The sequence below is a fragment of the Homo sapiens genome, chromosome 11, assembly GCF_000001405.40.
Source record: "Homo sapiens chromosome 11, GRCh38.p14 Primary Assembly".
NCBI classification, from domain to species: domain Eukaryota; kingdom Metazoa; phylum Chordata; class Mammalia; order Primates; family Hominidae; genus Homo; species Homo sapiens.
In genome coordinates, this window is record NC_000011.10 from 25,189,400 (window position 1) to 25,211,959 (window position 22,560).

Sequence of the window (22,560 nt, forward strand, 5' to 3'; positions counted from 1 at the left end):
GCTGTAATAATTTAGCCTCCAAGGTTGTTCCCATCTTTATTTTGTTTAGATCTACTTTTTCGTTAGTTTAAATGGAAACCTCATCTTGTTGGAGCGAATGTGTAACGAGTTTGGGGATCATACTCTTGTCTCCTTCCATTAAGACCCTTTTTTTCATTTGTTTACATTTATTTCTGGGTTTCTACATGGTAGTCTAAGATTCTTAGAATTTTTAAAAATAATCAAAAAATTTAATATCAGGCTTATGGCTAACTATATTTTTAGTGTATATGTGTGTATTTTGCATACTTTTATTTCATATCCTAAAGAATTTGAGACTTTTTTTTTTTTTTAGATGGAGTTTTGCTCTTGTTGCCCAGGCTCGAGTGCAATGGTAGGATCTCTGCTCACCATAACCTCTGCCTCCTGGGCTCAAAGGATTCTCTTGCCTCAGCCTCCCGAGAAGCTTGGATTACAGGCATGTGCCACCACGCCTGGCTAATTTTGTATTTTTGGTAGAGAATGGGTTTCTCCATGTTGGTCAGGCTGGTCTTGAACTCCCAACCTCAGGTGATCCTCCCTCCGTCTCCCAAAGTGCTGGGATTACAGGCATGAGCCACCGCACCCGGCCTGAGACTATTTAAAAGAAATATATTCAGTAAAAGGACAAATACACACGTAAAGTACAAAATTAGGAGCCTAGAGAGTTACAGGTGGATTGTGGAGAATAAACTGCAAATATGCAAGTCACATGTTTACAAAAAGTTCTTAACATTGAGCTCTAAATATGGTTTTCATAGATAGTATTTATTGAATGCCTATTATGTACCAGATATTTGCACTATAGAATGTAGCCCAGCCTACTTTCTTCCAAAACACACATGAGCAGTCCAGTTTCCAAGAGACAGTTCATTCTTAGATTCAGCCAGTGCTAGGAAACTGACTATATCACAGTTAATTTTCCACTTAAAATTAGAAGTTTGTTTCAATTTAACCATAATTTAGGTCATGTGTGATCTTTTGGGAAGTATTCAAGTGGATTAAAAGTTATGGGTAGTGGTGTATATTCTATACATCAATATGTGTGTGTGTGTGTGTGTAAAATCTATTCAGTAGGTCTCTAAATCTCCATTTTACAGTGTTATCAAGAAAAAGATTCTGGTTTTGTCTGGCCTGGATTCCTCTTTCACATAATGCTGAAGTCCTCTTTGGCTGCTGAGAATTCAGTCTCTATACCACAGGTGCAAAAATTCTTAAAATTCTTATATCAGAAATGCTATCACTATTTGCTTTATCAAAAATTTTGCAAACAGGTAATGTAAACCCTACAATGTCTCCTTTCCTAAAGATTGTTTTAGGTCTTTAGAACTTCAGCATAAATTTTATAATTGACTGAGAAATTACTAAAACATAATCTGCAGGGACTTGAACTATGAATAAATTTGAGAAAATTGACATATTAACAACATTTAGTCACCTGATATAAGAACATATTATTTAGTTTTAAAAAATGTTTTCTGGGAATGTTCTATAGATTACCATTTACAGAAAACATACACTTATTGTCACATATATTTCAAAGTATTTCACATTTGGAAGAACTATACTTAGACGTTATTAAAATTAAGATTTCTGGATGTTTCATTACTGTTATAAAAATGCAATAAAAATTTACTGTTATACAAATGCCATAAAATTTTCAATTAAAATATTTCTTTTTTGTTACTACAAAAATAATACATTTATTGATGAGAAACCATAAAGCACAAAATACTTTTTAAAGTGCTTATAACTCTTCTCACCCAGAAGTCATTGTGATGTATAACATTCTATAGATAGGCAACTTCAGCAAAGTCTCAGGATACAAAATCAATGTGCAAAAATCACAAGCATTCTTATACACCAACAACAGACAGAGAGCCAAATCCTGAGTGAACTCCCATGCACAATTGCTTCAAAGAGAATAAAATACCTAGGAATCCAACTTACAAGGGACGTGAAGGACCTCTTCAAGGAGAACTACAAACCACTGCTCAATGAAATAAAAGAGGATACAAACAAATGGAAGAACATTCCATGCTCATGGGTAGGAGGAATCGATATCGTGAAAATGGCCATACTGCCCAAGGTAATTTATAGATTCAACGCCATCCCCATCAAGCTACTGATGACTTTCTTCACAGAATTGGAAAAAATTACTTTAAAGTTCATATGGAACCAAAAAACAGCCTGCATTGACAAGTCAATCATAAGCAAAAAGAACAAAGCTGGAGGCATCACACTACCTGACTTCAAACTATACTACAAGGCTTCAGTAACCAAAACAGCATGGTACTGGTACCAAAACAGAGATATAGACCAATGGAACAGAACAGAGCCCTAAGAAATAATACCACACATCTACAACCATCCAATCTTTGACAAACCTGACAAAAACAAGCAATGGGGAAAGGATTCCCTATTTAATAAATGGTGCTGGGAAAACTGGCTAGCCATATGTAGAAAGCTGAAACTGGATCCCTTCCTTACACCTTATACAACAATTAATTCAATATGGATTAAAGACTTAAATGTTTGACCTAAAACCATAAAAACCCTAGAAGAAAACCTGGGCAATACCATTCAGGACATAGGCATGGGCGAGGACTTCATGTCTAAAGCACCAAAAGCAATGGCAACAAAAGCCAAAATTGACAAATGGGATCTAATTAAACTAAAGAGCTTCTGCACAGCAAAAGAAACTACCATCAGAGTGAACAGGCAACCTACAGAATGGGAGAAAATTTTTACAACCTACTCATCTGACAAAGGGCTAATATCCAGAATCTATAATGAACTCAAACAAATTTACAAGAAAAAAACAGACAACCCCATCAACAAGTGGGCAAAGGATATGAACAGACATTTCTCAAAAGAAGACATTTATGCAGCCAAAAGACACATGACAAAATGCTCATCATCACTGGCCATCAGAGAAATGCAAACCCAAATCACAATGAGATACCACCTCACACCAGTTAGAATGGTGATCATTAAAAAGTCAGGAAATAACAGGTACTGGAGAGGATGTGGAGAAATAGGATCACTTTTACACTGTTGGTGGGACTGTAAACTTGTTCAACCACGTGGAAGTCGGTGTGGCTTTTCATCAGGGATCTGGAACTAGAAATACCATTTGACCCAGCCATCCCATTGCTGGGTATATACCCAAAGGATTATAAAACATACTGCTATAAAGACGCATTCACACGTATGTTTATTGTGACACCATTCACAATAGCAAAGACTTGGAACCAACCCAAATGTCCATCAATGATAGACTGGATTAAGAAAATGTGGCACATATACACCATGGAATACTATGCAGCCATAAAAAATGATGAGTTCATGTCCTTTGTAGGGTCATGGATGATGCTGGAAACCATCATTCTCAGCAAACTATAGCAAGGACAAAAAACCAAACACCGCATGTTCTCACTCATAGGTGGGAATTGAACAATGAGAACACATGGACACAGGAAGGGGAACATCACACACTGGGGCCTGTTGTGGGGTGAGGGGAGTGGGGAGGGATAGCATTAGGAGATATACCTAATGCTAAGTGATGAGTTACTGGGTGCAGCACACCAACATAGCACATGTATACATATGTAACAAACCTGCACAATGTGCATATGTTCCCTAAAACTTAAAGTATAATAAAAAATAATAATTATAAAAATAAATTTAAAAAAAATTCTATACATATAAGATCTAAATGTGCTTTTCCAAGAAAATTCTCATACTACGCATGCTAATTTTTAGTCTCCTTTTTACAACTTGTAGTTCTGTTATGTTGAATGTTATATGTTATATATTTGTTTAATTGTTATATACTTGCAATTAACATTTATATATTTGCCTTGTATAAGTCAAACTTGGTAAACTCATGATATTTTGAGTTTTGTAGAATTTATCACATTTCTTACAAAGATGACCAAAACCTCATGAATAAAGCATGTTACCTCTTTATTTCCAATTTGTAGAACTTTTATTTCTTGTATTTGCCTTATAATAATAACTAGAAAATGCATTACAATGTGAAAATAAGTTGCCAGGTTATGGCAGACATTTTTACCTTCTAATCTTAAGGGAAAAAGCATTTAGTTTTTCACTATTTAGTTTGATGTAAGTTGTAGAGTTTTTAACTATATGCCCTGTAAAAGCCTCATGATATTCTCATCTATTCCTAATTTTCTGGTAATTTTTATGAACAACAGATGTTAAATTTGTCAAATTCCTTTTCTGTATATACTGAGGCAATCATGCAGGTTTTTAAAAATTTTTTGTTAGTTAATGAAATAAATTATTTTGGTTATGTTTTTGTGTTAAAACAATCTTTCCATCCAGGGATAGACCTAATTTGGTCATTATATATGTCTACTAAGGAATTTATCTAATTGTTGGATACAGTTGTTGGACACAATTTATCTATTTATCCAACGATTGAATAAATTAGCATACATAAGTAATTTACTTAGTATATATACATCTCCTCACAAGATGGAGAGAGAGGACTCACTGTAGATCCTTCTAGTCCTCTCTCTCCATCTTGATATTGGAATTTTTTCTTTTCTAACTTTTTTTTCTCTGATGAGTCTGGTGGCTAGAGAATAATACATTTTATTAATTTTTCAAAGAAAAAGGTTTTGCTGTCATAAAGTGTCTTCTATTATTGTCTTCTATTTTATTGCTTTCTTACCTCATCTTTATCAGTTATTTTATTCCAGTAGCTTTGGATTTCAACTGCTATTCTTCTGGTTTCTTAATAAAGAAGCTTAGGTTATTAAGTCGATAAATTTCTTCTTTTATAATACAGGTAATAGTTATTGAATGCCATAAATTTTTCCATTTTCATTATTTTGCTGAATCAAACAAATTTTATATGTATTTTTTAAAATTTCCATTTATCGTAAAATAATTCCAAATATTCTCCTATTAATCCATGGTTTATTAGAAGTGTATTGCTTAGTTACAATGTGTTGGTATTTTTCAAATACATTATTACTTTTTTTTATTTAATTTTATCATGGTCACAAAATACACTTTGCATTAGTCAAATCGGTTTAAATTTATTTTACTTATTTTGTGGTCCAGAATATTGTCTATCTTATTAAAAGTTGTATGTTAACTTGATAAAAATGAGTATTCTGCCATTTTGAGGGTGGTGTTCTATAAATGTCAATTATATCACATTGTTGACAGATTTTTCAATACTTCATATCCATTTTGATTCGCTGTCTACCTTTTTATCAATTTGTAGAAGCACTGAAATCTCTCAAAATTATTAACAGAATACTTACAAGTATTCTATTGTCTATTCTTAAAATTATCTATTTGTTTTTCATTCTGCAGGTTTTTCAGCTCTGTCAGTTTTTTACTTAAGTTTTTTAAGTTCAGTACTTCTTGAAAGTGTTGAAAGACAGAAAATTCTATTGTCTAGTCTTATAATTGTCTATTCTTTGATTTAGTTCCATAAGTTTTTCACTTCTTTAAGTTTTTTATTCATGTTTTGTAAAGCTCTGTTATGTAGAAATGCTGTGTCCTTGAACTATCAAAGTCTTTAGTAATGTGTAACAACTGTCTTTGACCTTGGTATAATTCCTTCCTCTGCCATCTACTTCTTCTGATATTGATATAATTACTCCAGCTTTTTTGCTTAGTGTTAGCATGGTATGCTATTTCCCATCATTTTATTTTTAAATCCTTTACTTTCTCTTTTAATCAGGTTTCTTATCTGCAACATATCATTAGATTTTGTTTTTTAAATAAGCTCTCAATTTATGATTTTTAGTTGGGGATATAGAATAGTTACATTTAATTCAATTATGTATAAAGCCTGGTTTAAATGTATTTTCTTGTTTTCTATTTGTCCCATTTCTGGTTTGTTCAATTTTTTTGCTTTATTTTGATTATTTGAGCATTCTTATATTTTATCTTCTTTATTAGCCTACTAGCTATATTCCTTTGTTTTGCTAATGTTTACCTTAGCATTTCTAATGAAAATCTTCATCATAGTTTTTATTCTATAATATTAAACCATTTCACATAGAGTACAAGGATAGTCATTTTCTTCTCCTAGTTTTTATTATCTTGTTATATTTTCGAAATCTGTATGTCTTAATAAACCTCACACTATATTATTATTATTTTTGCCTCTAATAATTGTCTGTTAAAGAGACTTAAATAGTACAACAATTACATTTACTGAAATAACAATTTTCAGTACTCTTCATTTATTTACATAGATCCAAGTTTCTATCTTGTATAAATTCCCTTCTGCCTAAAAGACTATGTTATTTTTTAAAGTCTAGTTCTGGTGATGATTTTTTTTAATCTTTTGCATGTCTGAAAAACCCATTAATTGAATCATTGGGTTTGAAATAAAATTTCCTTTGGTATGAAAGTCTAAGTTGACTCTTTGAGCAATTTAATGATATTAATCCATTCCTTTTTGGCATGTATTTCCTTCAATAAATCTGTCATTATTATCTTTGTTTCTCTGCACATAATAAATCATTCATTGTAGCTGTTTTAAAGATATTTTTAAAGCATGACTGGTTTCAATTTATTTAACTAAGTTGTTCTTAGATATAGTTTTTATCATTTTTATGAACATGGTAGGTTATTTTAGCTTATATAATCTGTGAATTTACAGTTTTATCAAGTTTGAAAATTTTTCAACCAATACTTTTTAAATGTTTTTTTCTATCTCCTATCTCTCTTCCCTATTTTGAAGATTCAAATTTCATGTTTATTAGGTTGCTTAAAATTATCCTACAACTTAAGACAATATTGTTTGTTAGTTTTTTTAATCTTATGGCTCTTTATATCACTTGTTGCTGTTTCATCAAGGTCATTAAAGATATTTTATTCTACGTTATATCTAATCTGTTGTCATTTTGAGTATTCCACAAATTTAACACATGCATTCTATTTTTTGTCTATAATACTTCAATTGGAGTTTTTTGTTTTGTTTTGTTTTTCACTTTCTGTCTTAGTTCATTTGGGCTTCTATAACAAAATACCACAAACTGAGTGGTTTATAAACAACAAAAATTTATTTCTCATGGTTCTGGAAGTTGGAAAGTCCAAGGTTAGGAAGCTGACAAATGTAGTGTCTGGTGAAGATTTATTTTCTTATTTATAATTGGCTCCTTCTAGCTGTGCTCTCCCATTGTAGAAGAGAGGGGCTTGGGCCTCTTTTAAAAGGGTCTTAATTCCATTCATGAGGGCTCTGCCTCCATGACCCAATCACGTCTGAAAGATCCCACCTCCTAACTTGGTCACATTTGGAATTAAGACTTCAACTTATGAATTTTGGGGAAACAAACATTCAGAGCATAGCATTCAAAAATATGGCAAATTCTATATTTCTCTTTGTCACACTTACGCTTTTTTCTACCTTCTTGAATATATTGATTATAATTCTATCACTTGTTCCAGTATTATTTTCTATTAAATCTATCATTTATCATGTCCTTGGTTCTATTGAGTTATTTTTTTCTCATTATGCCTCATGTTTTTCTGATTCTTTTACGTCTTATAATTTTTTACTGTATGTCAAGTCTTACGATTTTTACCTTTTTAGGTACTAGATAACATTTTTTCACCTTTAAATTTTGCAATCTTTTTTGTGAGATGGTGTTAAATAATTTATTCATAGTAAAATTAACATTAATACAGTAATGTAAGCATGTATTATCAAAGGCAAGGTAAGAATAAAAGAGATTGTTGATTAGATGACTATATTCTATAAGTCAATCAATAAAAGTTAAGACTCACAAACATAGCTAGAAAAATGGGAAACAGAGAAAGAGAAAAATAAAAAAAAAATTGTTAGGAGTAAGAATATCTGCAGGAATAGCAGAATATAAAATGTTGTTTTTATATTATTTGTATCTGTAATACTACATATGACTTATTAATTACAAAATTATACCTATCACAGCAGTATCTAAATTCCTCAATAAAATACGAAAACCACACTTTCTTTGACGTGATGGCATTTGTGGTTATTATTATAGGAAAGTATACATTCTGGTTGATATCAGTCAGTGACAACAGTAAATACATAGGTATCAAATAGAATAATTTCCAAAATGTAAAAGTAACAGAATTGAACATAGATTTGACTATTCTTTTGAACAGAGTCATTTGAAAAGAGTCATTTGGTGCTCTCGTGACTTCTTTTCCCAAGAGCTTCTTATTACATGTCATATGGTAGCATTTTTATTTCCTTGGCTAGGAACAACTTGAAATGAGGTGACAGCAACTCTTAAGAGAATTGCCTGTGTGTTTTGCTGAAATTTAAATGTAATGCTACTTAACTTTTCAGGTATCCTGGGAATATTCCTAACTGTTTCTCCATATTTCTACTTGCTTCAATCAGTATTCTATTAGGTATAATGGTTTTGTGGAGCTCAGTCATAAAATTTGATTTCTAGGTTTTTCCATCATGCTGCGTCATTAAAAGACAAAGAGCCGCTTTACACAACTTACTAGAAAACATTAGGCAAAAATTTCTTTTTATGATAGGGAATGAAGTCAATCTTGCAAATCTTGCTAGATATTGTCTAATATTAACTTTAATGAAAAGCAATTCTCATCACCACTAGTAGATCATCAAGGATCTCTTATGGGTTTAGTTGAGCTTGCTCAAAGAGAAGCTCTTGACAGTATTGCATGAATTTTGATATGCCTAAGCTGCGAAGATCATATTTAGAAAGCAAGTTGAAGTATGATTAAAAGCAGCTAAGTAATATTCAGTAAATTGGTCTTGGCTCTACGCAGAGTAATTCATCAGAATTTATGTGGTTTAGAGAGATATGGAGGCAGCTAGTGTTTTGATTTCAGACTAATACTTCAAACTCACTGGAAGTTACAAATGATCTAAGGTATAATAATGTCATATGAAATGCATTCTTACTAAAAATTTAAACTGAATCTTCCCAATAAGAGTTTGAGGAAATTTATAAAAGGACATACTCAGTAAGATGGATAAACTAGAAAAAAATTCAGTGTACAGAGGATAAAGGGGTTGTTATCTCCAAAAACTAGACCCATGTGATGACTACATCCAGCGTTAATTTTATTCCTGATCCATTTTCAAGTCAAGGTTAAATAAAATGTATATATATATAAAATTTATATGTATAACACCACATCATATTATATATTTATATTTCATTTTATAGATGCATATATTTTTGTACATATATTAATTTTTCTCTATAATTATAAAAGTTGGAATGTATTAGTTTAATATTTTAATATTTACTAAACATAGGTCATTATGTTCTCATTGAATTCTCAGAACAAACTTGTGTGTTAGGTATTCTGATATTCTCTGTTTTATAGTAAAACAAATAGAGCTTTCAAGAGGTTAAAGAAAATTGCCCAAAGTCATACAGTTGTGTATGCTAGAAACAGGTCACAAATTTAGATGTGTCTAACTCCGTAATTTGAGTATAATTTTGTCATAAGATAAGAGCCAGCAGCCCCTAGGGCTTAATGATATGATGGCTCTATAAAAGGTCATTAAATTACATAATGGGCTATGGTTACAACAATTTTTATTGCTATTATTGTATTTTGGGGCAAGATGGTTTTAGACAACTAGTGGTATAAATTTCAAATGTTTAAGTCTTGTGTTTACTAACATTGCAATTACGCATATAACACAAATTTCTGTACATGAAAGTGAAACAAAATACATAGATTACTGTAAGCCTCAGTGTCCACATATTTAAAACTGTAATAATAATAACTAATTCCATGTGTTTTGGAATGTTTACAAATGAAAATATGTGTAAATCTTCTAACATAGTTACTCATATACTCTGACGTTCAATATATAACTAGATCTCTTTCCAGTTTCCTCCACTATTTATGAATAAAGAAATTCCTTGCGTGAAAAGCATTTCCAGAGTTACTCCACAACATAGGCCAGAAATGATTAACCACAACTGATTGATTTTTTTTCTGACTTTATTGATAGTATTGAATTATCCATCATAAATTTCTAATAAACAAATGTCTCAGTGGTTTTATATATCTTCGTATGCTAAAACTACATTTTCTAGGATCACTTTTCCTGTATATTTGCAGATTAGAAGTGGGAAAAAGAAGAACTGGGACTAGATTAGAAAAACCCAAGAAAAACAGCAGTCATTGCTATTGGAAGCTAATCACAATCAGAGACAATTACAATCTCAGTTATTTTCCATGGATTCTAGTTCTCCTCTCACCTCCACCATATATATATATATATATATATATATATATATATATATATATATATATATATATAATGTAAAAAGGATATTTGAGCTGAATGTGGTGGCTCATGCCTGTAATCCCAGCACTGTGGGATGCTAAGGCAGGAGGATCACTTAAGTTCAATAGTTTGAAACCAGCCTGAGCAACACAGTGAGACCCTGTCTCTACAAATAAAAAATAAAAATAGCTGAGCACCTACTCAGAAGGCTGGTGAGGAAGGAGGATTCCTTAATCCCAAAAGTTTGAAACTACAGTGAACTATGATGGCACCACTGCACTCCAGGCTGGGTGACAGAGTGATATTCAGTCTCTTTAAAAAAAAAAAAAAAAAAAAGGATATTTTGGGGAGGAGTTCTTTATTTTTATTTCCCCAAAATATGAGCCGATAGGAATATTTCATTTGGGTATTGAATTGGCTACAAGAAAGAGAGAAAGAAGAGAAAAATAAACATAATTTATATGTATACATTTCCTGCAAGGTGAGCCATTCATCAAATAGATGAATTTACCAGGAATAATTCATATCTTATTAATAAGAACCTATATTTGTGTTTTAAGTTCTTTGTAATGATGGTGAACATTTTAAGAAAACCAATAAAAAATTAATGACTGGGGCAGAAAATTTAAAACTTCTATTTCAAAGAGGAAGAGGAAAATGATTCTGTTTTCTAGAAGGGATTCAGTTTACTTTTTCTTACTTGTACATTATGTTTCATGGTATTTTATATAGATAAATGGCATCACAGCATATCATAATAGAATTGATATATAGGGCTGAGAGTTATAAATGTATGTTCTCTTAAAGTGCAGAATTCCTATTTTCGTGAACCACATGAACTATAATTTATTCATGAAATGTAATCTGAGTGGCTCAGGAAAGCATGGCGAATTTCTGATCTTTGAAAGGTTGGCTTTTAGAAGGACAGGTAATTTATTACGTCTATGTGACTTCATTGATAGCATAAATCACTCTTTCCCATATCTCTTCTCTTAACCCCTACTCTGATTCATATATACCATGAAGTGTCAGGTGAAGTTTTAGATGTGACGAAAGGAAGAAAGAAAGAAAAGGAACGAAGGAAAGAAGGAAGGAAGGAAATAAGGATGGAAGGAAAGAAGGAAGGAAGGAAAGAGAAGGAAGGAAAGAAGGAAGGAAGGAAAGAAGGAAGGAAGGAAAGAAAGAAGGAAGGAAAAAAGGAAGGAAGGAAAGAAGGAAGGAAGGAAGGAAAGAAGGAAGGAAAGAAAGAAGGAAAGAAAGAAGGAAAGAAGAGGGAGGGAGGGAGGGAGGAAGGAAGGAATGAAGGAGGAGGGAGGGAGGGAGGAAGAGACGAAGGAAAGGAGAAAGAGAGGGAGGGAGGAAAGAAGGAAGGAAGGCAGGCAGCCAAGAAAGAAGAAAAGGAAAGGAAAGGGGAAAGGAAAGGAAGGGAGAAAGGAAAGGAAAAGGGAAAGGAAAGGAAAAGGAGAGGAAGAAAGGGAGGGAGGGAAGAAAGAGGAGAAGGAGGGAAGGAGGGAAAAAAGAAAAGGCAGGCAGGAAGGAAGGAAGGGAGGAAGGGAGGAGAAAGAGAGAGAAAATATTTAGTCTTAAAATTAGTTTAAGGGTGCTGTATACCTGATTAGCAAGGAATTCATATTGATGATGTTTGAAACATTTATTTATCCTAAGATATTCAGCTAATTCAAGTAGTTAAGATTGTCTACAAAGGTGAAATGATGCAGTTTTATGATTAGAGGTTTTAAAAGAATCATTCAGCTAGCCTTGGCCTTAGAATATCAAGTTTGACTTATCTCTATTTGCAAATGAATGAAAGGTTTGTGAAACAAATCAGCAGAGACAGGGCTAGGGTGCTTTCTTAGAAGGCCAATACATGAATTTAGCAAAAATAAAATAAAAATTTCTTGAATAAGAAAATCTTATTTTCTCCTATATGCTTGTGGGTGATCAGGAAACATTTTAGGAAATAATAAATCCTTGTGATATAGGTGCTATTTTGTTTTAGACAATCAATGGAACAAAACAGCTACAGCCAAAGTGAAGGACACTGTATAATTTTTTTTCCCCAAAATGTGACTCTTATTATTCAAACTCTACCAGCTCCACTAGCACTCTACTCCGATCCCAGGGGTCCACAAATACAGCATGAGACAAACCCTACCTCTGCTTTAATAGTAATACATGGGAAAAGACTGAGACAAAGATATTTGCAGATGGAGATTGATTACTGTTTAGGAAGGGTTAGGGAATCTGCAATACAGAGGAAGAGGTGGAATTCCAACAAGATTAAAAAAAATAAAAATAGAGGGGCCTATTTATTCTGATTTATCTGGGACTGAATGTTTCTGATATTTGGGATTTTCAATGCTTAAAGGAGAAAATTTTCAGGCCAATTGAGATTATTGGTTACCCTAATGGGGAGAGATGGAGAAAAATTAAAATATGCAAAAGTTTCATTTAAGCCACCTGCTGAAGTCTTAAATAGTTTTGAGTTGGGCTCAAGAGTTTTAGGAATTAAGGCCATCACTCATATTTAGGAGTGAAAATATAGATGAAGAACACAGTCCTTCCCCAACTTCCTTACCAAATTCTCTGTCACCCAGGCTGGAGTGCAGTGGCTTGATCTTGGCTCACTGCAACCTCTGCCTCCCGGGTTCAAATGATTCTCCTGCCTCAGCCTCCCGAGTAGCTGGGACTACAGGCATGTGCCACCACACCCAGCTATTTTTTTTTGTTTGTTTGTATTTTTAGTAGAGACAGGGTTTCACCATGATGCTCAGGCTGGTCTCAAACTCCTGACCTCGGGTGATCTGCCAGCCTTGGCCTCCCAAAGTGCTAGGATTACAGGCGTGAGCCAACATGTCCAGCCTGAACAAAAACTTGTTTATCAATAACTCCTTAAACTTTCTTAGGTTCCCACTAGGTATTTGCTTTGAGAAAACATGTATGTATGAACATATAATAATTATAGAAATATAATCATATTTTATTATTTTATGTAACTGCAAAATCTTCCCTTATCCATACTTCATTTTAATCATAAATATACATTGAATAGCTATGTAAATGTTAATATTAATATAACTCTTCAACATAATTTTGCCTTTCAGTTATATCCAGTCTAATGTGTTTTTTATTTTTAATAATAGATGATTCATTAATTAGTATCTTCTTACAACATAGCATGTTGTGTCTGTTGAGTTAAAATCCACAATAAATTTCTGGGTTTGGATCACAATGTATTTACACATGTATGTCTTTATGACTACAGTACAGTGACTTTTTACTTTACTACTTTCAAAAGTTTATACCAGTTTCAAATGCTAACTTATGAGTCAACTGAATTTATAATTCAATTTTACTGAAACTTTGTTAGTAATGCATACATTGATATTTTTCCTAAAATTTTCCTAGTGCAAAAATAGAACCTCAAGGTTATTTTAATAAACATTTCTTTGATCATTCCCAAGAGTGAACAGTTCTTAACGTGTATCTACATTTTGTTTTTTGTAATTGCTTCTTTGCATTCATTTAAGTTTTAAAATTGCCATACCAAATGTGAAAGATTACATTTAGGCATTGTCTTTTTTTGGTAGTTATGCATTTAATTCAAGGCTAAAAGAGAAAAAAAAATTGTTTGGCATTTCTACTTGTAACACTGTTACAGTCATTAGGATAAATGGCATATCATGTCACAGTGAGTGATATTTGATAAATGATGGGGACAGTTGGAGAACAAAACTATTTAAATTTTGTTTAGAGCTTCAATAATGGCAGATGCTCATTTCCTCAATCTGTCTTATTGACTAAATTTGAAATGACTAGCAGGCAAAATACAATTAAAGAAAAAAAGCATGATAAATGAACATTTAAAAGGCAAAGTCAAGGATATAAACATGCAATGATTCCCTTGAAACATTCCTTTTAAATAGACAGAAAATAATTCTCCTGAACTTCATAATATAAGTAATATAGAATTTGGCTTTAGAGTGTAATTGATCGCACTGTTTACAGGAAAACATGAATTAAGAGAGAAGAAAATAAGGATGAGACATAAAAAAGGAGCAGAATTTTGGAATTATGCTATAAGAACGATAAAGAGAGACATTGAGCTGTTAAGAATATTATAAACCATCCATTTATAATTTCTCCTTGTTTTTCTAGATCGTGAGAGCAAAAATGACTAATACTTATGTGAGAATTAATAAATAACATATCTGGATTAGGAATGCCTAAGAGTTGACTAGTGTGCAGTATAATTTTTATTTGGCTAAAATTAAATGCCCTCTTTCTCTTGAATTAAGTAGAAGACAATATAATAGAAGGCAAATGCAGAATAAATATTCTGAAGGAGTGGGTGAGTTATGTCCCCCTGGTTATGTTTCCTAGTTTGGTTGATTCAACACCCCCTGTAAAGGCCTGCATTGAGGCCAACTCATGGTACTTAATACTTTGGAACTATCTCCACCTATGCAGGAAATTTTTGTCTTCTAGCTAATATGGATGAAGGTGTTTCTTCTGTCACCTGGCCTGGCAAATCGGCACTTTTAATACATTTTTGTATAGTTGGAAAAAATAGTTCTGAGTATTAATAAGTGTGTGTCCTGACACCTTTTGCTTGTGATGATTTTCGAGGATGAGTGGAGATGGATGTTATAAGAACTCAGTTATCCTTCCAGATGATCTAAACTTTCAGTCTATTGTAGTCATGAAGAACCAACTTCAAATCTCAACTTCACCATCTCCCAGTTGGTGTGGATTCTTACAAGTGGCTTAATATTTCTGGGTCTCATTATTCCCCATATATAAAACTTGCATAAAATACTGTGTGCCATCAATAGGAGGATAAAAATGAGTTCTCTGTTAGAAATATTTTAGGGAATAAAGCTTGATTCCTGGGAGAAAAGTAGCTCCTGTAATGTAGTGTTTTGTTTCCTTGAATTTAAGTTGCTTTAAATAGTGGTAGTGGTGGAGGTGGTGTATATTCTGAGGACAGTTGCTCTCTGTGGATATGTACTGTAGTATCAAAAAGTCCTTTCCTTAGTGTGAGGCTCATAGTATTTTAGAAAAGTACGAAAAACAGCAGATGCAACCTCTTACTACACAGATAAAAAGATGGAGGGCCAGGGAGGGAAAAGATTTTCCACAGATACCAAGTAAGTGAGGCCCAAACTCAGTTATTCTGATTTTCCAAGGATACATGGGTACTCTCAAAATTACTTCTTGTCAGTCAATTCTAAAATTGCTAGTTACAGAATGAGGTACTTCAGGTAATCAACATTTAGTGTCCGAAATATTTCATCTGCTCTTATCATTTGTCTGTGTTTTCTGGATGATTGCCTTAATGTTCAATTTACTTTGACTATGCGATTATACCTACATTTGGAAGGTTAGTTAATGATTCTAACAAATTCTGGAAACAATCTTAACAGTAGGCTAGTCCACTGGAGGTCAAACATCGCTAAACACAATGCAAGGAGAGAATGAGATATATGTACATATCTCCTATATATTTTTTTTGAGAGAGAGAGAAAGGCATATATGTTTATATGTATATGCCCCAACATAAATGTACTCAGAATATGAATTCACACACAAACATGTTTAGTATTGCAATTTGATTTTCTTTTGTAATTCTGATTCATAAAATTTTCCAGATTTCTATTTATTTAGTTTTTAAAAAAATTTCTTTTATCGTAAGTTCCAGGATACATGTGCAGGACATGTAGGTTTGTTACTTAAGTAAACATGTGTCATGGTGGTTTGCTGCACATATCAACCCCAGATACTTTGTTCTCGAAAAATACCTGTAATGGTTGTATAATTAAGCATTTTAATGTATCATATTATTAAGAATTTTTTGTTGTCATACATTTTTATTTGTCCGAAATTTCATGATTAAAATTAACATTTGAAGGAAGACGGATTCATATAAATTTCAATAATATTTTTTAAAATTGCGTATGTGTTGCTTTTTAAGGATAAATTTATAGGAGAATTATCCTCTCTATGTATAGAACTTTAAGTTATCACGATAGACACATTGTCAAAGTGGTAAACTACATTTAAATGCAGCATGCAGAGATATATTAATAAAAAGTACATATTTTGAAAGTAATTAGCTTAAATACCATAATGGATTTCTATTACTATCAGAATAAAATGCACAATTCTAAACATAATGTAGACATGTATTACCTGAGTTATCTGGATAAGTTCAATATAATCACAAGGGTTCATATAAGACAGAGGCAGGAGGGTCAGAGTCAGTTGAGATATGATTACAGAAGCAGAGGTCAGAGAGAGACAGAGAGAGAAAAAGTTAACAGTGGTACATTGCTAGTTTTGAAAATGTAAGATGGGGCTATAAGCAGAGTAATGCAGATGCCCTCTAAACCTAGAAATGGCAAGAAAATAGATTTTCCTCAGAAGCCTCCAGAAGCAATGCAGCCCTGCTGACAACTTAATTTGAATTCTGTAAGACTCGTTTTAGATTTCTGATTTCAATAAATTTTCTATAATAAACTTACATTATTTTAAGCCATTACATTTGTGCTACTTTGTCAAAGCACTAATATAAAACTCATAAAAAAATGCTTATTTAAATATTATGTTTTATATATTTAGTATAAATATATATGACATAGTATATACACTCTCCTTGGAATGAATGAATGTACAGATAGGCATAGGTAGATGAATAGATGGATAGAAAAATGTAAATACATATGCACAGATATTCACACATTTATACAGATGTATGTGTTTATATATAAAAGATATATTGATAATTAGAATGTTATTAACAAAACTTCAACTTTCTTTGGCATGGCCACATGCTCACTTACAGAACTACACACTTTCTATTCATCCTTGCCATGTTTCCATGTGATTATATTACAGACTATGTGATACGGTTTGCCTGTGCCCCCATTCAAATCTCATTTGAATTGTGACTCCCACAATTCCCATGTGTCATGGGAGGAACCCAATAGGAGGTGACTGAATTATGGGTGTGGGTCTTTCCTGCACTGTTCTTGTAATACTAAATGAGTCTCACAAGATCTGATGGTTTTAAAAATAGGAGTTTCCCTGCAAAGCTCTTTCTTTGCCTCCTGCCTATAAGATATGCCTTGCTCCTCCTTGCCTTCCACCATGATTATGAGGCCTCTCAGCCATGTGGAACTGTAAGTCCATTAAACCTCTTTCTTTTATAAATTGCTCAGTCTTGGGTATGTCTTTATCAGCAGAGTTAAACTGGACTAATACAGTACATTAGTACCAGGAGTGGGGTGTTGCTGAAAGGATACCAGAAAATGTGGAAGCAACTTTGGAGACGGGTAACAGGCAGAGATTGGAACAGTTTGGAGGGCTCATAAGAAGACAGAAAAATGTAGGAAAGTTTGGAACTTTCTAGACACTTGTTGCATGGCTTTGATGAAAATGCTGATAGTGATATGAACAATAAGGTCCAGGCTGAGGTGGTCTCAGATGGAGATGAGGAATTTGTTGGGAGCAGGAGCAAAAATAACCCTTGTTATGTTTTAGCAAAGAGACTGGTGGCACTTTGTTCCCGCCCTAGATATTTGTGAAACTTTGAACTTTAGAGAATTGATTTAGGGTATCTGGTAGAAGAAGTTTCTAAGCAGCAAAGCATTCAAGATGTGACTTGGGTGCTATTAAAGGCATTCAGTTTTATAAGGGAACACAATAGAGAACACAAAGATAAAACCATATATCTACAGCCAACTGATCTTTGACAAAGGCAACAAAAACACACACTGAGGAAAGACATCTTATTCAATAAATACTGCTGAAATATTGGATAGCCAGATGCAGAATAAAACTGGACCCCTATCTCTTACCACACATGAAAATGAACTCAAGATTGATTAAAGACTTAAATATAGGACCTGAAACTGTAAAAATACTAGAGGAAAACCTAGAAAAAAATGATTCTGAATGCCCTAAGCAAAGAATTTATTAATAAGATCTCAAAAACAAATGAAACAAGAACAAAAATAGACAAATGGGACTTAAACTAAAATTCTTCTTCACAGCCAAAAAAATAAACAACAGAGTGAACACATATATGTAGAATGGGAGAAAATATTTGCAAACTGCATCCAACAAAGGAATAATACCAAGAACTACAAGGATTTCAAACAACTCAACAACAAAAAATAAAAAACCCTATTAAAAAGTGGGCAAAGGACATGAACAGACATTTTACAAAAGAAGACAAATAAATGGCCATTAAACATGTGAAAAGAAATCTCAACATCATTAATCATCAGAGAAATGCAGATTGAAGCCACAGTGTGATAATGAGATACCATCTTATGTCACTCAGAATGGCTAATATTAAAAATTCAATAAAAAACAGATGTGGGCGAGAATGCAGAGAAAACACTTACACACTATTGGTGGGAATATGCATTATTACAACCTCTATGGAAAACAGTATAGAGATTTCTCAAATAACTAAAGTAGAACTACTATTCAATCCAGCAATCCCACTAATAGCACTATTCACAATAGCAAAGATATGGAATCTGTGTCCATTAAAAGATAATTAGATTTAAAAATGTGGTAGATATATACAATAGAACACTATTTAGCCATTAAAAATATGTATTTTGTAGCAACATGGATAATACTGGAGGCCATTATCTTAAGTGTAATAACTCAAAAACAAAAAGTAAAATACTACATGTTTAATTTTATAAGTGGGAACTGAAAAACAGGTACACATGGTCATAGAGAATGGAATAATAGACAGTGGAAACTCAGAAGAGTAGAAGCAGGGGAGAAGGGTGAGGGATGAGGAATTACTTAATGGCTACACTGTGCACTATTCGGATGCTGGCTATACCAAACACCCAGTCTTTAGCACTATGTAATATGTCCATGTAAAAAATGACACTTGGACTCCCTAAATATCTAACAAATAAGATATCAAGGCAGAAGCTGAAAGTTAACATGGCAAAATGCTACCAATGTTTATCTCTTGATTATATAAAAATGTGTTCTTCAAAAAATATTTTTATACATTTTGTACAGTGAGAAATTATATCATCCTGTCCCCAGAGCCAAATCACACTGACCTTTTATCTTTTTATTCAAACATGCCCAACACTCTCTGATCTCAGTGAATTTTTCCCTATTTGCTCTTATCAGTACTGATCTTCTTCTTCTAGGTTTTCACATGGATGACTTCTCTGTGTTCTATATCTTAGCTCAAGACTGTATTTGGGCATGTAGAAGTCTTCCTGGAGCTCTGGTCATCTGATAAAGCGTACATTTTCTCCATCTCCTTTCAGAAACCCTCCATTAATTCACAGTTATATTTGCTTATATTCAGTGACACTTATTACCATTGAAAGTTAGTCTACATGTCTATTACGTTTCTCACTACTAGAATCAAAAATTCATCAGAGTATGTTTATCAGTTTTGTCCATTACTGCATCATCACACCTAGAACAATATATCTGGAACGCAGTAATTACTCATAAAAATGACAATTTAAAGGTAACAATAAACGTATGGAGCAACGTCATCTGCTCAAATAGCTATTACAGCAGGACATGTAGAGCTGAACTTAACAAATATGCATCTCAGAACCATCTAGATAAGGCACTTACGGGAAATGAGGTTTAGTTTCCCTACGTTCATAATTGAATTTCCCATATGGTTGCTATGCTTAACTTGCTCAAAAGGGAATTATTCTATTAAAGAAATACATGTTCTTATATTATAATTTTTGAAAGTCAAGATATCATCTAATCAATACATTTGTGTGATGTACAATTATTCCTTTTTTTCACAAAGCCAGTATTAAACTAGTGGTTCATCAAAAATGCAATGCTGAAAAATATTTGAAGAAATATTGTACACAATGAAATCAACCAGAAGAGTAGCATAAGCTAGCTTCCCCTTATATCCAAAGCCAAAAAAAAAAAATTGTCATGATATTTGGGTTGCGGCTTGAGTAAAAGTCCAATGCTTGACTGAAGACTTTCCAGTATTACCTATTTTATACAGTGGTCCTTTCTGGGGTATCCACATCCACATTATATTTTTCAGAACTAAGGGCTATTTATAACTCTATTTTTACACTTATGTGACTTCTCAAGCATTTGCTTGAAAAGTCACCAATCCGATTGTTATCACATGTTTATTAAGAGTACCTGTTTGTAGTCTAGTTTATGACCAGAAGTGTAAAGATAATTGAAAAACAAATACAAATTACCATAAAAAAACAGTATTATATTTACTTATTTTTTATAATAGTATTCCCTAGAAAAATCGCTTCCTTCTGAAAATACACATGGTCACAACAATAGAACATCAGTTATTAGTTCTGCTATTTCTCCGATTTTTTTGTTTTTCAGAATTACGGCAGTCACATAATTAAAATTTATCTGATTGTATTTCATATATTTTTAATCTGATACAGCTTGCTTTTTTTTAGTTAAAGAGTGTGTGTATGTGTGTTTGTGTGTGTGTATATTTGCATATGTGAATGAATATTTCTTTAAATCTATGTCTATTTGATGTCCGCAATAGGGAAGAAAACCTAGCATATGCGTTCTTTGAAATTCTGACGATAGCATTATTATCTTGTTATTTTTTATATTTTAGAATATTCTTTACTAGTTGATTTATATATCATGTTTTTTCTTATCTACATATTTCATAATAGCCAGAATTAAATTTTCTATCACATTTATATTTAAAGTTTAAAAGGACCAGATACATGAGATATACATAAAATTGTATATTTAAAAATACAGTTTGAATTATTTCTCTTTTCAGCTAATCAAATTTTAACAGCCTCTGACCTAAACTAAAATTATTCTATTTTGGCTTATTTTCTGTTTTTTTAAATTATTATTAGCTATTATATTTTCAAATATTTCTATAATGTATGAGAGTATTATTTTATCTCCATCTCTAACAGTAATCACAATTTAAGGTTCTTTTGATTTTACCAGAATTAATAAAGTATTTTACCTTGTTTTCATTTTAACTGTCATATTCCCATCTACTTTTAATGTGGCTTTTGGATGTTGAACTTTTCTTTGAATAATCTTCCCATATTCTTTTCCCACTTTTCAACTGAGCCATCTGTTTTCTCTTCTTAATATTGGTGTTCTTTTTGTATGATTGCAAATAACCCTTTTTCTATCAACAAGAATATAAATTTTTCCAGGCTTATTATTTATCTATTTACTATATTTATTTTTTGCCAAATGAATATGTAAAATTTTAATAGTTATATCGGCCTGGCTTTTCCTTTATATATTCTAGATTTCTTATTCTAATAAGCAATAAACCTCCAAGTAAGGCATTCTATTTGATTAATGTTCTATTATTTGTTTATTTTGAGTTCAGATATCACAGAAGGAGGAATATTTGACCTACATTTGGAAATATAAGTAGATTTTCAGAGACTCCCCAGGAAATTGAAGCAATTCTTTCAAAAATACTGAAATATTAAAGAATATGGAAACATCCCATACTTCCATGCCTTTGTTCATATCATACACTTAATCTAATAACTTTCAAAGATTCAGACCAGGTGTTGTCAACTAAACCGTGCCTTTTCTATGGCTCTAGGTAGGACTAACACCATTTGTCTACTCTGAGCTGGTAAAATATACAAATATTTATCCAGGCTTTCCACATGTGATATTTTGATATTGTGTGCTTATGTTTCTACCACCATCTTTACTACTCCCTAACAACTCCATTTCCATTAGGTTGTAGTTCATTGAAAGCAGGGGTATTATCTTATTTATTTTTGTCTTTCTATAATTAAACACAGGGGCATATCGTAGGTAGTCAGTAAATGATATTGGAAACAAATTGATGATAGTATATTTATGGAATTTAGACTAACTTAAGTCACAGTGTAAGAGACAGACAGGCTGAATGGAGCTGTTACTAAGGGCCTTGGCTTCCATTCTAAGGAATTGAGGTTTGATCTCCAGACAATCAGATGGTGTGTGGGGCTACAGATCTCCTGAAATTATGTCCTCTGTCTTCAGCTACCAGGGTAGACAGAGAAAGACCATCAGTTGAGGGCAAAGTTAGGTGTGTCTGAGCTCAGACTCACCTTGGGTGGGGCTTGTTGGAGCTGCTGTGTGGTATGGGGTTTTGTTCCCAGGCCAACGGAATTATGTTTCCAGGGAGATTATGGCTGTCTCTTCTGTGTCACACAGATCACCAGGGAAGTGGTGGAAAGCCAGCAGCCACTGCTTTC